Here is a 17,721-nt window from a genome sequence, read left to right as displayed (position 1 = left end):
GAGCAGGGACTGTGAAACAGGCTGCCTGGATTTAAGTCCTGGCTCTGTCTCGGCTATTTGTGTAAGCTTAGATTAATTACTTAGCCCGGCTGTGTCTTAGTTTCTGTATCTGTAACATGAGGATATGCCAGTTTTGGGAACCTCAGGGTTTTTAGGGTGGGTTAAATGAGTTGATATCTGTAAAGAAAGCACAGCAGTGTCTGGCCCATAGTGCTTTGTAAGTGTGGGTGATTATCAATACTGCTGAGCCTTTAGCATGTGTGCCAGGCCCTGTGCGAACTGTTGTATCATCAATGAGCTGTGGGAGGTATATGCAGCTGAAGTGTCTGATTAAACACTATTTAATCATAGAAATAGAAAATCATAGAAATAGAAAAACTATTTCACCTGGGCCTTAAAAATGGGTTACTGGCCAAGCGCAGTGGCTCAAGCCTATAATCCTGGCACTTTTGGAGGCCGAGGTGGGTGGATCGCTCAGGAGTTCGAGACCACCCTGGAGAACATGGTGAAACCCTGTCTCTACTAAAATACAAAAAATTAGCTGGGGGTGGTGGCGCGTGTCTATAGTCCCAACTACTTGGGAGGCTGAGGCACGAGAATTGCTTGAGCACCGGAGGCGGAGGTTGCAGTGAGCCGAGATCCAATCACTGCACTTCAGCTTGGGCTATAGAGTGAGACTCCGTCAAAAAAAAAAAAAAAAAGTTACTATACTGTAGCTGGTATTTATTGAACACCTACTATGTTCAAGGCATTGTTCTAAGTACTATACAATAATTAACTAATTTAATTCTTAAAACAATCCTAGGCAGTAAACTATTGTCCTTATTTCAAAGAAGAAGAAACAGCACAGGGTCCTGTCATGCCCAAGTGGGTGAGGAATACTGGAAAACAATTGGCAGCTGAGTGTTCCAGTTCCAGAGAGGGCACTCTGGAACCAACCAAGGTTCTCTTTCCTCATTTTTTACGTGAGTATCTTGGGATATAAAGTCTTAAAGAATGAATTTCAGAATATGTGAGGAAATCCATTTCCCAGGTAGACCACAGTGCTCTTGAATATCAAGATTAACAGTAACAATTGTAACAATTGGTGTTTTCTTAGTCCTTATCATCCTTGATCACACCACCCTCTTTATTCTTCTCCTCCTTCTGAATAACTCCTTGTTTTCTCAGCTTTCCTTTTCTTTCTTCTCTCCTAGAATAAGTTTTGCTTATTATCTTCTTTGTGTTTTCAGTACCTATCAGATTCAATTTTCACCTTCAGCTGACTAAAATAATCTCTTCAGCCCTCACCTCTTCCCAGTTGGTCACCTTTACCAAAGATTACTCACACCTCAAAGACAAGAAGTCCATTATCATTATCCACAGAGTCCATCCTCACCAAGGCTACCCTGTCTGTGGTTTTTTTTTTTTTTTTTTTTTTTTTTGAGATGGAGTTTTGCTCTTGTTGCCCAGGCTGGAGTGCAGTGTTGCGATCTCGGCTCACTGCAACCTCTGCCTCCCCACTTCAAGTGATTCCCCTGTCTCAGCCTCCTGAGTAGCTTGGATTACAGGTGTGCACCACCACGCTTGGCTAATTGTGGAGACGGGGTTTCACCATGTTGGCCAGGCTGGTCTCGAACTCCTGACCTCAGGTGATCTGCCTGCCTCGGCCTCCCAAAGTGTTGGGATTACAAGTATGAGCCACCTCGCCCGGCCTACTCTATGTGAACAGCACTTTCTTTCTACCTTGTACCCAGATTCCTTGCTTTGACTTCCCCCATATCATATAAAGATTGCAGACTAATCAGCTGTCAAGAGTTCTACTGATTGGGTAATACAATATCTAATCCTTCTAGATTAAATCATGGCTTCATCTCCACTGTCTCATGAGTCAGTCACTCCTTCCTACTTCCTGCCACTTCAGCCCACATGCAGTCCCTTTATTGAATCTGTCTGACAAATAACAGGATCATCTTTTTCAAGTACAGTTCTGATCAAGCCTTTACCATACCAAAACTTTTTTTTTTTTTTGAGACAGAGTCTCACTCTATTGCTCAGATTGTAGTGCAATGGCGCAATCTCAGCTCACTGCAACCTTGGCCTTCTGGGTTCAAGTGATTCTCCTGCCACACTCTCTCTAGTAGCTGGGACTACAGTCACATGCCACCACACCCAGCTAATTTTTTGTATTTTTAGTAGAGATGGGGTTTCGCCATGTTGACCAGGCTGGTCTCAAACTCCTGACCTCAGGTGATCCACCTGCCTTGGCTTCCCCAAGTGCTGAGATTACAGGTGTGAGCCACCATACCCAGCCTACCTTACCAAAAGTTTCAAGAACTTCCCCAATTTTAGGCTGCCGTTTTTCAGTATTTCTATTTAGGTATTAAATCTGCAACGAGGGAGATATTGGAGAAATTATTCATGCTACAAGAAATGTTGGAGAGGCAAAATGGCTTCAGTCAACAGACTACAGGGAGCTAGGTTTTAGTTTCATGTCTTCTACAACCCTGCTTGGAGCCCAGCCTGTTACTTAGTGTCCTATGTCTTCCAACTCCACACTATTTTTTTTTTTTTTAATAGAGACGGTGCTTCACTATGTTGCCCAGGCAGATCTCAAACTCCCAGCCTTAAGTAATCCTTCCACCTCAGCCTCCCAAAGTGCTGGGATTATAGTTAGAGGCTGTACCTGGCCACCAACAGCTCAACACTAAACATCTTACTGTTAGCCCCTCACGCACAGATAAGGAATCCAGAAGACAGTACCAGAAGATCTTTGTTCAGATGTGAGTAGTTTATGTAAATTCATGAAGAACTTACAGTCAACTGGATGTTCAGAAGGCATTCCTTTCTTCATTACAGTCACCCTTCACACACGGCAGGGGTGACTGAATTCTCTAAGGTCCAGGCACCCTACACTGCTGTCCCATCTGAATTGGCAGAGAAATATCTCATCCCTGGACATTTTTATCCCCCTGTCTAGATGGATTAGTGACCTAAATATGAAAAATAATGAAGAAAGTCTGGGAGAATAGTTTTACAACTTTTGAGGGAGGGGAAGGAAACCTTTTAGCAAGTTATTAAAATTAAAAGCCATAGAAGGAAAGATTGAAAATTTAACTGCATCCAGATGAAAAGCTTCATTCATATGAATGACACTGTAAATAAAGTTGAAATACCTGGAAGAAGGAATTCTCCAATATATGTAATTGACAAATGATTAAAGGATATGAATTGGGCATCCTCAAAAGAGAAAACTTGAGACCAAGCAAAATGAAAGGATGGTTCAATCTTAATGGCCCTATGGGATACGCAAAATAAAGCAAAAATAACATTGTTTTTCCTCATAAGATTGGCCTACTAGATATCAAGACACACTGTAAAGAGCTATAATAATGTAAAACATTTGGCACTTGACATGCAGAAATCAACAAATGGATCAATGAAAAAATAATGCAGACTCCAGACATGGATCTGGTATATACATATCCAAGCGTTTATTTTATAATAAAGGTAACATTTCAAATTAAGGAAGGAATAATGGATTATTCAGTAAATTATTTTGGGGCAATTAGTTATCTATTCCAGAAAAAATATTTTAAATAATACTGTCCACTCCCAAACACAAATACACAAATGATGCAGTATCAAGAGATACAGAGGTATTAATAAGTAGTCCTCCTTGGGGAGTTATGATGAGGTGGCTATAGGATGGACAAGTGCTGAGATACAGCAAAAAACTCCCACACCTTCCCAGGATTATAGGATGGGGGAAGGGCGACCTAAACAAATTTACAGAAATTTGAATAGAATATTGTGTGTCCAGGGAATTAGGAGAAATTTTTTGTTGCTAGAAAAAAACAATGTGAAGAAATTGAGTGAAGGAAGTTGAGGCTGCAAAGACAGGTGGAGTCCTGATCATGAATGGCATTTGGTATCAAACCGAGGGGTTTTGATTTGATCCCTTAGCCAAGGTGAGTCAGTGAAATTCTGTTTGTTTTATTTAATTAATGTATTTATTATTTGTAGAGACGAGTCTCCCTATGTTGCCCAGCTGGTCTTGAACTCCTGGGCTCAAGTGATCCTCCTGCCTCAGCCTCCCAAACTGCTGGGACTACAGGTCAGGCTTGGGCCACCATGCTGAGCTAATTATTATTATTATTATTATTATTATTATTATTATTATTATTTTTAATAGAGATAGGGTCTCGCTATGTAGCCCAGGCTGGTTTTGAACTCCTGAGCGCAAGCTATCCTCCCACCTTGGCCTCCCAAAATGCTGGGATTACAGGCATGAGCAACCATACCTGCTCTGTTTGTTTTAACTAGTGGAGTGAACATATCTTGTGTACATTGGATGGAGGTAAAATTGGAAGGAAGGAAGGAGGAGAAGAAGAAAAATTATTGAAACAGTATAATGAGAATGGAGAAGGAAAATGCTACATTTTTTAGGTAGGGAAACCAAGGAATCATTCACTCAAATAGTCAAGAAATATTTCTGAAGACCGGCTGGGCGCGGTGGCTCACGCCTGTAATCCCAGGACTTTGGGAGGCTGAGGCGGGCGGATCATGAGGTCAAGAGATGGAGACCATCCTGGCCAATGTGGTGAAACCCCGCCTCTACTAAAAATACAAAAATTAGCTGGGTGTGGTGGCGCGTGCCTGTAGTCCCAGCTACTCAGGAGGCTGAGGCGGGAGAATCACTTGAACCCGGGAGGCACAGGTTGCAGTGAGCCAAGATTGCGTCACTGCACTCCAGCCTGGTGACAAAGCAAGACTCCATCTCAAAAATAATAAAATAAAATAAAATAGTAATAAAATTTAATTTCTGAAGACCAGTGTAGTGTCAGTTATGGTGCTAGGCTCTGGAAATATGAATATAAACCAAAAATAATATTCTAAGGCCCCCCCCTAACTATCTGAATGGACTTTCTTCTCAGCCAGGGCTCTTTTAAAATGTAACCTGAGAGACTGGTTCAGGCCATGACTGAAAGTGGGAGTCAGACATGCCTCATTATACCTTTCTGGCATTGACATCAACATAGACTGTAAGTCTGATAAGAAACATTTTACAACCTGTTCTCTCTGAAGCCTACTACCTGAAAGCTTCCTCTGCAAATAAGAACTTGAGTCTCCACAATCCTTAACCCAGATATTCCTTTCTCTTGATCCCAGGTATTTAGATAAACTCAACCAATTGTCAACCAGGGCTGCGTGTGGTGGTTTATGTCTGTAATCCCAGCAGTTTGAGTGGCCGAGGTGGGCAGATCACTTGAAACCAGGAGTTTGAGGCCAGCCTGGCCAACATGGTGAAACCCCATCTCTACTAAAAATGCAAAAATTAGCCAGGTGTGCTGGTGCATGCCTGTAGTGCCAGCTACTTGGAAGGCTGAGGTGGGAGGATCACTTGAATCTGGGAGGGAGAGGTTGCAGTGAGCTGAGATCATGCCACTGCACTCCAGCCTGGGTGACAGAGTGAGTTCCTGTCTCTAAATAAATAAATCAATAAAAATAAAAAATACAATAACAACTGTCAACCAGGAAATTAAACATCTACCTAGATTTTTTAAAAAAGAATAATCTTCGGCTGGGCACGCTGGCTCACGCCTGTAATGCCAGCACTTTGGGAGGCCGAGGCGGCCAGATCACGAGGTCAGGAGATCAAGACCATCCTGGCTAACGCAGTGAAACTCCGTCTCTACTAAAAATACCAAAATTAGCCGGGCATGGTGGTGGGCGCCTGTAGTCCCAGCTACTTGGGAGGCTGAGGTAGGAGAATGGTGTGAACCCAGGAGGTGGAGCTTGCAGTGAGCCGAGATTGCACCACTGCACTCCAGCCTGGGGGACACAGCAAGACTCTGTCTCAAAAAAAAAAACAAAAAACAAAAAACAAAAAAAAAGAAAACAAATAATCTTCTCTTGTACAATTTTTGATAAATAAGATATGGAATGAGAAACTGAACTGTTGCTTTCGTAGGTAAATGAGAGTCTGAGTTTCCTTAGCTCCAAAGAGAAAGGGCATTTTACTCCTCCCAGCTGAAAGGCACCCCTGGGTGACCAGGGGCCTTGTGGGAGTGTCTGTGAGGTTCACCCACCCATCATGACATGTAGCGCAGCAGCCCTACAGGGAACCCCCAACAAAATTAGTTTTAAAAAGGCTCATCCAGGAAGCACGTATGGGAGCTCCAGGTTTTGAGCCCTCTGAGAGGTGCTAGAGCTTCAGAGAGAGAAATTGAGACACATAAGAGGGCAACGATGACTCAGGGGTGACACCGTGGAGTCCTGCCTGCAACCAGCACACTTCCACCCATTCCACAAAAGCCCTAGGCCACAGCTCAGTTCCTCCTTTAAAAAATACTGGGAAACAAATAATCTAAGTATGAGGAGAAAACAAGGAGAATGACCCCCTTTGGGCACTCCATCAGTATTATGGTGGCTCTACTTACTAGAGTTTATGTGAAATTGAAGTATTATGGTGTTTGTGCACATTTACATTAAGGAAAAAGAGACCTAAGGTTGACCTGCAAACTATAGAGTTCCTAAGTTCTCCTTTTCTTTGTTTTCTTTTCTGTCTGACTTACATCTGCTGTTACTTTTCTATTGAGATTAAAAATCACTGGTTTTTTTTTTTTTTGAGATGGAGTCTCACTCCATCATGCAGGCTAGAGTGCAGTGGCACGGTCTCAGCTCACTGCAACCTCCACCTCCTGGGTTTAAGTGATTCTCCTTCCTCAGCCTCCCGAGTAGCTGAGATTACAGGCATCCACCACCACGCCTGGCTATTTTTTTTATTTTTAGCAGAGACGGGGTTTTGCCATGTTGGCCAGGCTTGTCTCAAACTCCTGACCTCAGGTGGTCCACCGCCTTGGCCTCCCAAAGTGCTGGGATTACAGGCATGAGTCACAGTGCCTGGCCTAAAACCACTTTTTGATCTAAACTTTTTTTTTTTTTCAACCCAGTGCATTTGTATTTATCTCATGACTAAAGTTCAGAAGTAAAAGCTATGGGATTTTTTGTGTGTATGTGTGTATATGTGTGTGTATATATATTTAAAAGGCTTTTATAGTAGATTTATATAATTTTAATTGGTAATTAAATTCATTTTAACTTCACTCTAGCACACCTGACTTTTCCTCTTGAGATGTAAATTTTGCTAATTGATTTTTCACTTGAGTTGTTTCCTTTAATATGCAAATTTAGTACTTTAGCTAAAACTGCCTAGGGTAATAAAATGGGTTATCAAGAATTTAAAAGTCTAAGGAAAAAAAAATAGGTCTTATGAATCTGTAAGCTGTACTTCTATTGGTATGCCTAATATGTCTATGTATTTCTGTGTTGTGTATATAATATTTTACTACTAAAAAGATATAAAAGAGCTTGCATTAAGTGGTTTAAAGAAAAATGAAAGTGCTTAAATCAAATACTTTATCAAAAAAAAAAAAAGACTAGTCAAATGTTTTTCAAGTTCATGTGAGATGGGATAATTCCCTTGACCCCTTTCATGGGTGGGAACTGGAGTGGCTGGTTTCATTGAGCCAGCAGCTGTCCACTCCTTGCAAGAGGGATCATGCATGCTAGTGAGTGCAGGAACTGGAGCGAACAAATGCTGGAACTGGCTAGTTGCTCCTCTCTGGCAGGAGCAGGCTCTGTGTGGGCCCCGCAGCAGCATCCAAGTATATTACAATCAATGCTCTTTCAGCTCTGCTGTCCAGAGATGGCCAAGTGCCAGCTAGCTCAGTGGAGGGTCAGGGTGGCAGCAGCTGTCCTCTAGGCACTTGGGTTCTTGTCTGACATCCAGGTCACACAAATGGATTGAAGGGTAGTGTATAAGGAGGATTTTACTGGGTAATGGAAGTGGCTCTCATCGGGATGCGGAGGTGAAAAGGCAATGATGTGGGAAGAAGGTGATCTTTCCCTGAAGCCTGGCTGTCTCTGGCTGGGCCGCTCTCTGAAGCCGCACTATCTGAAGTTTGTCGTGTCTATCCATAGTCTCGAATGTTCAGTTGCTTCTCTGCTTGCCACTCAGCCACTTGTATTCCCACCACTCAGCTGCTTGTGTTGCTCTGCCAGTTGAAATCTTTTTTTCTTTTCTTTGTTTTTTTCTTTCCTGTTTATTTTTATTTTTATTTTTTCTTTAGCAACTGAAGTCTTTTTATGGGCACAGGATAGGGGTGTGGCAGGCCAAAAAGGCATTATTTAGGTGGAAAAACAGGGTCAGCTGTTTTCCCTTAGGGCCGTGGTCCAGGCTGAATGGTGGGGTTTAGCCCTGAGCCCAGCCCTTCTGTATCACATGTGACTTAAGTAAAATCTTTAATAAATAAGCTTGCTTTAAAATTGTTGGTAAAATAATACTAGAAATGTCTTAAGAATTGTTAGTATTTTTGTTTGCATTTATTGATCAAGTGGTTTCATGCTTTATTCCTGCAGAATGCTATAAGATTTACCATAAGAGTTATAAAACTATAAAACCCAGCCCAAAACTGAATGATCTTTGCTTGTATAATTTTTGATAAATAAGACACAAAACATTGTTGGTTTAATGAAAACAGCTAAATCCTGAGTTATTGGTAAAAACACCCTTATATTAAACCTTAAGCTTCTTACTTAAGTAAACACCTGAAATTCACAGCTATAAAAATAATTAACAGAGAATTAACTTGAAGTGATGACTATCACTGTTTTCATAAATAACCTAGGTAAACTATTAGATAATCAAGTAAATGTATAGACTAAATGCTTATAAACAAACTTGTCATAAAATTTAGAATCTAAAGTCATATTAAATAATAGGTATTAATTGAATATCTGGGTAATTTACAATTTAAAAATTATAGGAAAACTTTTTAAAAATATTCTTATTAAAAGGTAAATATGGCAGATGTGGTGGCTCACACCTGTAATCCCAGCACTTTGAGAGGCTGAGGCGGGTGGATCATGAGTTCAGGAGTTCAAGGCCAGCCCGGCCAAGATGGTGAAACCCTGTCTCTACTAAAAGTACAAAAATTAGCCAGGTGTAGTGGCGGGTGCCTATAATCCCAGCTACTCAAAAGGCTGAGGCAGATAATTGCTTGAACCCAGGAGGTGCAGGTTGCAGTGAGCCGAGATCATGCCACTGCACTACAGCCTGGGTGACAGAGCGAGACTCTGTCTCAAAAAAAAAAAAAAAAAAGAATTTAAAAAAAATTTTAAAAAAAGGTAAATACCTTTGTTTAATTCAAAGCTTATTTAAGGTTATGCATAAAACAGTGTAAACAGAACTAGGAAATATGAGATGTAAGGAAAGCTACAGATATAAAGAGTTATTTTTGGTAAAGAAAGTAAAAAGAAAAAAAATTTTTATATGAGAATCTTGTATGGTAAATTTTTCCTAAAATAAGATAACTGGTTTTTCAAGAAAGAGGGATCTTTAGGACAAAACAAACAGTCTAAGCACGTTGTAAATGGTCTATGTAAGTCATAATAAGGTTAGTAAAAAGGAATTTAATTTTTTTTAAAGGGGTTATATAATTCAGTTGGCTGTGATTAAGAAGAAATTATGATAGTCTTTCTAGAGATGGGTCTTCGATATTAATATCAATGAAAAGAGTTGAACTCTATAAAATATTTGAAGAGTCTTATTCTGAGCCAAATATGAGTGACCATGGCCTGTGACATAGCCTTCAGGAGGTCCTGAGAACATGTGCCCAAGGTGGTTGGAGCACAGCTTGGTTTTATACATTTTAGAAAGGCATGAGACATCAATCAAATACATTTAAGAAATACATTGGTTTGGTCCAGAAAGATGGAACAACTCAAAGCAGGGGCTTCCAGGTTATAGGTGAATTTAAAACATTCTCTGGTTGACAGTTGGTTGAGTTTGTCTAAAGACCTGGTATAGATAGAAAGGGAATGTTCAGGTTAAGATAAAGATACTGGAGACCAAAGTTCTTTTGAAGTCTTATTGTAGCTGCCTTAGAGACAATAGGTGAAAAATGTTTCCTATTCAGATCTTAATCTCTTTAGGATTGGGAGGGTCTGGAAGAAAAAGATCTAGCTATGTTAATAGAGATTCTTTACAGATGCAAATTTTCCCCCACAAAGAACAGCTTTGCAGGACCATTTCAAAATATGGCAAAGAAACACGTTTTAGGGTAAAATAGTTTGATTTTCTTCTTTGTCTCTTAATGTTATGCCAGAGTCAAGTTGGAAAATAAATCATGATATATAGGGTTAAATAAAACCTATCTGAGGGCATGACTCCACAGACCCCTTAGATAGGAATTTGGGCATAAAATAATAAAAATAAATTTTTTAGTTTATTATTTATCAAAAATTATTGTCTTATTTATCAAAAATTATACAAGCAAAGATCATTCTTTCTTGGGGTGGGTTTTATATAAATAAATAAATGTTTAAATAAATAAAAAATGTTTAAATAAATAAAAAAGTCAGAGCTTAGTACTCATTAGCAAAACCACTAATACAAAACTAAATAATTGGTTAAAACAAGATTTTATTTAAAATATTGACTTAATGCAAGAAGCTTTTAATTCTTAAATTCTATAATCTATCTTTTTGACACTCTTCAGATTGATATCTCAGAAGTTCAGCTCTTTCTCTTTTGAAAAGGCCTTGGATGATTAATCTCTCCTTTGCCTTTTATTTGGCTCCTGTAACTTTTTATTAATTATCTAAAGTAAGGGAGATAATCTTTTTTTTTTTGACAATAGGCAAATAAATATCTTTGGACCTGCCTTTTTTTATTCTGCATGTGGGAACTAGTAAGATTGCCTGAGCCCACAAAGCATAGAGTAGAAGCTAGAGTGCTAGTCATGACAAATTCTCTACTTCATAGCCCTTTGTGGAGCATTTATTGGGATTGATGGCAAAAGACGGTGAGTACTTCCCAATGACAATGACTGAACTAGAGAATATCCACCTGGGAGGCATTTATTGCCTTACTAGGGAATGTTAATTGAAGCCACCCCTATGCTAATGGGTTTTGTTTGTTTGTTTGTTTGTTTGTTTTTGAAAGAGTCTCCCTCTGTCGCCCAGGCTGGAGTGCAGTGGCAACATCTTGGCTCACTGCAACCTCCACCTCCCAGGTTCACGTGATTCTTGTGCCTTAGCCTCCCGAGTAGCTGGGATTATAGGCATGTGCCACCATGCCTAGCTAATATTTGTATTTTTTTTTTTTTGAGACTGAGTTTCGCTCTTGTCACCCAAGCTGGAGTGCAATGGCATGATCTCCAGTCACTGCAACCTCTGCCTCCTGGGTTTGGGATTACAAGTGCCTGCCATCATGCCCGGCTAATTTTTGATTTTTAGTAGAAATGGGGTTTTACCATGTTGGCCAGGCTGATCTCAAACTCCTGACCTCAGGTGATCCACCCACTTCTGCCTCCCAAAGTGCTGGGATTACAGATGTTAGCCACCACGCCCGGCTAATTTTTGTATTTTTAGTAGATACGGAGTTTTGAATTCCTGGCCTCATGTGATCCACACCCTATGCTAATAGAAATAATGGTCCCCAAAAGAGTTCCATGCTAAAATAAAAATGGTTTATATAGAATCTTGCTACCTTGGGATATAAGGAGGAGATACTGATAAGCAGGGAGCCCCTTTCTTAGGACTAATTCTAACTCTGTGAGTAGCTGCTAGATTCTATAGTGCCTGATAGACAGCTCTCATGAGCTGCTTGATTTGTGAATGGCATTTCCAAGGTAAACAAACATCCTGTTTGAAAGCTGCTTCTCTGCCTAAAGAAGGGTCAAGAAAATCCTTTTCTTTTTGACTTATTTGGGTGAATATGTTTTTTGTTTGTTTGTTTTTGAGACAGAGTCCTGCTCTGTCACCCAGGCTCTAGTGCAGTGACGCCATCTCGGCTCATTGCAGCCTCCATCCCAGGGGGTCAAGCAATCCTCACACCTCAGCCTCCCGGTAGCTAGGACTATAGGTGCGTGCCACCATGCCCAGCTAACTGTTTGTTTTTTTTGAGACGGAGTTTCACTTTTGTTGCCCAGGCTGGAGTGCAATGGCATGATCTTGGCTCACTGTAACCTCTGCCTCCAGGGTTCAAGCGATTCTCCTGCCTCAGCCTCCTGAGTAGCTGGGATTATAGGCATGCACCACTTCACCCAGCTAATTTTGTATTTTTAATAGAGACAGGGTTTCACCATGTTGGTCAGGCTGGTCTCGACTTCCTGACCTCAGATGATCCACGGGCCTGGGACTCCCACAAGTTCTGGGATTTCAGGCATGAGCCACTGCACCGGCATAATTTTTATATTTTTTGTGGAGATGGGGTTTTGCCTCGTTGCCCAGCCTGGACTCAAGCGATCCTCCTGCCTTGGCCTCCCAAACTGCTGGGATTACAGGCGTAAGCCACTGCGCCCAGCCGGGAGAAGTATGTTTTTGTAAGCAAATTTACCTTTCCATCTAGGTTCTTCAAAATTTGGATTGTAGTTTTATTACAATACAGTTATTTGGATAAGTTCAGTAAGTCTTTTGAAACAGAACAATTGAAGACACTCGTTATCTTACCAAGACTTTAACTAAAGTAGCTTTTTTTTTTTTTTTTTTTTGAGATGGAGTCTTGCCCTGTCGCCTGGCTGGAGTGCAGTGGCACAATCTCAGCTCAGCAGCCACAACCTCTGCCTCCCGGGTTCAAGTGATTCTCCTGCCTCAGCCTCCTGAGTAGCTGAGATTACAGGAGCGTGCCACCACGCCCGGATAATTTTTGTATTTTTAGTAGAGATGGGGTTTTACCATATTGGCCAGGCTGGTCTTGAACTACTGACCTTGTGATCCACCTGCCTTGGCCTCCCAAAGTGCTGGGATTACAGGCATGAACCACCACGCCCAACCAAAGTAGCATATTTTTAGGTAAAGTTCCAGCAAAGCCAACTTAAAAGGAGCCTATATGGCCAATCGATTGTTGCTGCATGTTATGCAAATAATCAGGCTAGTATAATAAGCCTAAAACTTACTTTGCACACAAATTTTGTTTGTGTTTAAGGAGTATAAATTCTCCTTAATAGAAAAAAAGAGGCTAGAGAAATTGTTTCAAAGGAAAAGTGTAACAGTTAATGCTAGATTTCAGACCTAGCTTTTGCTTTTTTGAGTTCAGATTGAATTATTATTTCTTGGCTACGATAATCCTCTAGAGATACCAGATGATAATTTTTCTTCATATTTTTAGCTGGTGCCCTAATGGAATAAGTTTCTTTTTCTGTTGTGACACACAAATACTCTTTTGATTGTGAAACTATAAACGTTATTTCTTTCTCCTTGTTTTATTGCCAAGGAAACCAAAATCATGGTATTCTGAAGACCAGAGATGTGAATCTCCCTCATTTGGCATCCCACTGGGCCCCAGTGTGTTTTTCACTGCAAATGCCCTGCTGCTAAAACTATACAAGCACCCTCCCTCTAGACCCAGGGTTGTGGAAGAGTTGGGTACATGAGATTGTAAGAGCCAGTTTTGAGGGCTCAAGTTAGGTCAAGGTCAAACCCTTCAAATCAAGGAGGAGTATAAAGATGCCTCAACAGCTGGTAAAACAAGGAACTTTGCCTTCTAAATGATTATGTGTCACTGTTGCATCCACCCCAAACATAAATACTTTTTGTTTTTGAGACGGAGTCTGGCACTGTCGTCCGGGCTAGAGTGCAGTGGCGTGATCTCGGCTCAGCCTCCTGAGTAGCTGGAATTACAGGCATTCACCACCTCAGCCAGCTAATTTTGTATTTTTAATAGAGATGGGGTTTCACCATGTTGGTCAGGCTGGTCTCAAACTCCTGACCTCAGATGATCCACCCGCCTTGGCCTCCCAAAGTGCTGGGATTACAGGCATGAGCCACCATACCCGGCCAATAAATTTTTGCTTCCTGTAAAATTAAAGGAAAATATTTACTAACAGGATAAAGATACCTTACAACAAAGCCTCCTGGGTATAGTTATCCCAGTTATGAGTTGAGAACATAAATCTCTCTGTCTCTCATATATATACATATACATATTTAAAATATTTTCTCAGAACATCGCCAATGTTTTATATAGCTAATTGCTGTAAGTCTATAAAACCAAGCTTACAGTAGCTCAACACATAGAAGTTGAAATAAGTCAGTGTTGCAGCTTTGCCTTTAGGTTTTTGTTTGTTGGCGTTTTACTTAAAATAATAATTTAAGAGGTAATGAATGCCTGTCCACGTCCATTCCTATCTGGCCTAGTACAATTAATTGGCTACAAATCTTTTGACTTTTTTTTTTTTTTTTTGAAATGGCGTTTTGCTCTTGTTGCCCAGGCTGGAGTGCAATAGCACAATCTCGACTCACTGCAACCTCCGCCTCCCGGGTTCAAGTGATTCTCCTGCCTCAGCCTCCTGAATAGTTGGGATTATAGGCATGCACCACCACGCACGGCTAGTTTTGTATTTTTAGTAGAGATGAGGTTTCCCCATGTTGGTCAGGCTGGTCTCGAACTCTCGACCTCAGGTGATCCACCTGCCTCATCCTCCGAAAGTGCTGGGATTACAGGTGTGAGCCACCACGCCTGGCCAGTCTTTTGACTCTTAAGGCCCTCAGCCATAGGAAGTCCCACCAAGGGACAGGATGGATGGGGGACAGGCAGCCACGCCACCCTGGCAATGCTATGGGACAAAATAAAGATTTGATGGCCTTTGATGTTGCCTCTGGTAAATATTGGCCAGAAGGGGGAGAATGTAAACCAAAAATAAAATTCTAAAGCCCTCCAACCATCTGAATGTACTTTCTCCTCAGTCACGGCTCTTTTAAAATTTAACCTGAGAGACTGTTTCAGACCATGATGGGAAGTGGCAGTGAGACATGCCTTGTTATACGTCTCTGACATTAACATCAGCACAGACTTTGAGTCTGATAAAAAACATTTTACAACCTATTCTCTCTGAAACCTACTACCTAAGGCTTCCTCTGTAAATAAGAATGTGGGTCTCCACAATCCTTTGTCTTAACCTAGACATTCCTTTCTGTTGATCCCAGGGTTTTAGATAAACTCAACCAATTGTCAACCAGGAAAATTTTAAATCTACCTATAAGCTGGAAGCACCCCCCAACACACACCCACAGCTTTGAGTTGTCTCACCTTCCTGGACCAAACCAATGTATTTCTTTCTTTTCCTGTTTTTTTTTTTTTGTTTGTTTGTTTTTGTTTTTGTTTTTTTGAGCAGAATCTTGCTCTGTCGCCCAGGCTGGAGTGCAGTGGCACAATCTCGGCTCATTGCAACCTCTGCCTCCCGGGTTCAATCGATTCCTGTGCCTCAGCCTACCTGGGAGCTGGGATCACAGGCGCATGCCACCATGCCCGGCGAATTTTTATATTTTTAGTAGAGACAGGGTTTTGCCATGTTGGCCAGGCTGGTCTTAAACTCCTGGCCTCAAGCAACCTGCCCACCTCAGCCTCCCAAAGTGCTGAGATTGCAGGCGTGAGGCACTGCACCTGGCCATATTTCTTAAATATACTTGATGGAATTATCATGTCTCCCTAAAATGTATAAAACTAAGCTGCACCCCGACCAGCTTGGGCACACGTTCTCAGGACATCCTGAGGGCTGTGTCACAGGCCATGTTCACTCATATTTGGCTCAGAATAAATCTCTTCAAATGTTTTACAGAGTTTGACTCTTTTCGTAGAGTCAACTGCGAACAAGACAAATTATCTCAGGTTGAGCATACTGTAGTTCATATGACAGACAACGGAATAATCAAAAAGAATTTACTAGAGGCAGCATAATAATGTTTTAATACAGGTTTCTATTTAGCACTTATGAGATTCTGTATTCAAAGATTACAAACAGAAATGTTCTCAGAGCATTGAATTAATGAATGAGGGGGCAGGGATAATCCACGAGGGTGTTGTAGTAGAAGGGAGGAAACCAGGGTGTGTTTGCCCTTCCTAAAAATCTTCAAATAATGATAATGATGATAATTAGATTTTGTGCAGAAATTTGACCTATATAACTTAAAATATATATATATATATATATATAATATGTATATATATCACTTTTCAAACATATATATCTATGTTTGGAAAGTGAATAGCTTATTTTTTTTTAAGAGGGAGTCTCCCTCTGTCACTCAGGCTGGAGTACATTGGCATGATTTTAGCTCACTGCAAACTCCATGCCCCGGCTCAAAGGATTGTCGTGCCTCAGCCTCTGAATAGCTGGGATTATAGGTGTGTGCCACTACACCCGGCTAATTTTTGTATTTTTAGTAGAGATGGGGATTTCGCCATGTTGGCCAGGCTGGTCTTGAACTTCACGCCTCAAGTAATCTGCCTGCCTCGACCTCCCAAAATGCTGGGATTACAGGCATGAGCCACCAGGCCCGGCCAGCAGTTAGCTTAAAAGTGGCACAAATTAAAAACATAATAAATGTTAGTTATTCTGTATTGTTACAATTTAGTGAAATAAGTTTTGTGATGTGAAAGAAGCAGACAAGTAGCTGAAATTCAGTTTGAGAAAATATAAATGTATTGAATAGTCAATTGACATAAAATCATCAACAAAATGTGTTGAAAGCCAATTTGCTGAATCACTGATTTGCCAAATTCACTGGTTTTGTCAAGCTTTAATAGTAATGATAAATAGCTTTACAAACATGTTTACTTTTGGTCATGAAGAAGGCAAATGCTACATTTTGAAGTAGGGAAACCAAAGGACTAAACTTGCTTTTGGACATTAAGTTAATGGAACTTTTAACATTCATTGTATCCAATGAATTCATTGTATCCAATGAATTCATTGTATCCAAAAAGTGGGGAAAAATGTCCCCAAAAGCTGGGAATTTCCTGCCCCCAACCCTGGAAAAAAAAAAAAAAAAAGAACACTTAAGGAAAACAAGATCATTTTACAGAACACTAGAATCTTACACACCTGTTGCTAATGATGTCTTTTTCATTTTAACCAGATAACCATTAAAATCAAATTGCCATGTTGATAACTTTGTTTTGGTCAAAGTGTTTTTTTTTTCCAGAGTCACTTGGAACTCTTCTGTGGCATCTGAAGCAGATGGACGAAGCCAAGAGGGCCGAGAGTATCTCAGCACCTAGAAATGGACAAGGCTGGTTATTAGAACAAAGATTTCGCAGGTGGTGAGTCTCAAAGGCGAAGCTGAATGGTAGTATAATTTTTTTTAAATTTTAATTATTAAAAAATATTTTTTGGAGGGGATAGAGTCTTGCTGTCACCCAGGCTGGAGTGCAGTGGCACTATCTCAACTCACTGCAACCTCCGACTCCCAGGTTCAAGCGATTATCATGCCTCAGCCTCCTGAGTAGCTGGGATTACAGGCATGTGCCACCATACCTGGCTAATTTTTGTATTTTTAGTAGAGACGGGGTTTTGCCATGTTGGTCAGGCCGGTCTCGAACTCCTGACCTGAAGTGATCCATCTGTCTTGGCCTCCCAAAATTCTGGGATTACAGATGTGAGCCACCACTCCTGGTCTGAATGGGAGTTTAATAGTAGTTAGGTCATGAAACTCCCTGCCAGGCATTCTAATACATTCTGACTTTGCTTTGCAGGTGATAATTGGGAGCTATGTATATATTTTTGTTTTGTTTTGTTTTGTTTTTTGATACAGAGTCTCGCTCTGTCGCCCAGGCTGGAGTGCAGTGGCAGGATCTCAGCTCACTGCAAGCTCCGCCTCCCGGGTTCACGCCATTCTCCTGCCTCAGCCTCCCAAGTAGCTAGGAATACAGGCGCCCGCCACCACGCCCGGCTA

The 17,721-nt window shown here is 41.0% G+C and overlaps 1 long non-coding RNA gene across 5 annotated transcripts in view; it reads left to right on the top strand.

Moving 5' to 3' along the window:
• Positions 1-17,721, top strand: part of TMEM254-AS1 (TMEM254 antisense RNA 1) — a 32,961-nt gene that overhangs the window by 1,289 nt on the left and 13,951 nt on the right. For 3 of the 5 annotated variants that reach the window (NR_027429.1, NR_027430.1, NR_027428.1), the window contains exon 2: positions 16,972-17,115. This is a non-coding gene — a long non-coding RNA (TMEM254 antisense RNA 1). The remainder of the gene's footprint in view (positions 1-16,971; positions 17,116-17,721) is intronic. The other 2 variants (NR_027432.1, NR_027431.3) reach the window with 1 other exon arrangement.

This window comes from Homo sapiens, chromosome 10, assembly GCF_000001405.40.
Source record: "Homo sapiens chromosome 10, GRCh38.p14 Primary Assembly".
NCBI classification, from domain to species: Eukaryota; Metazoa; Chordata; class Mammalia; order Primates; family Hominidae; genus Homo; species Homo sapiens.
Note: the sequence above shows the minus strand (reverse complement) of the source record. Positions and strands in the feature narration are given on the sequence as shown.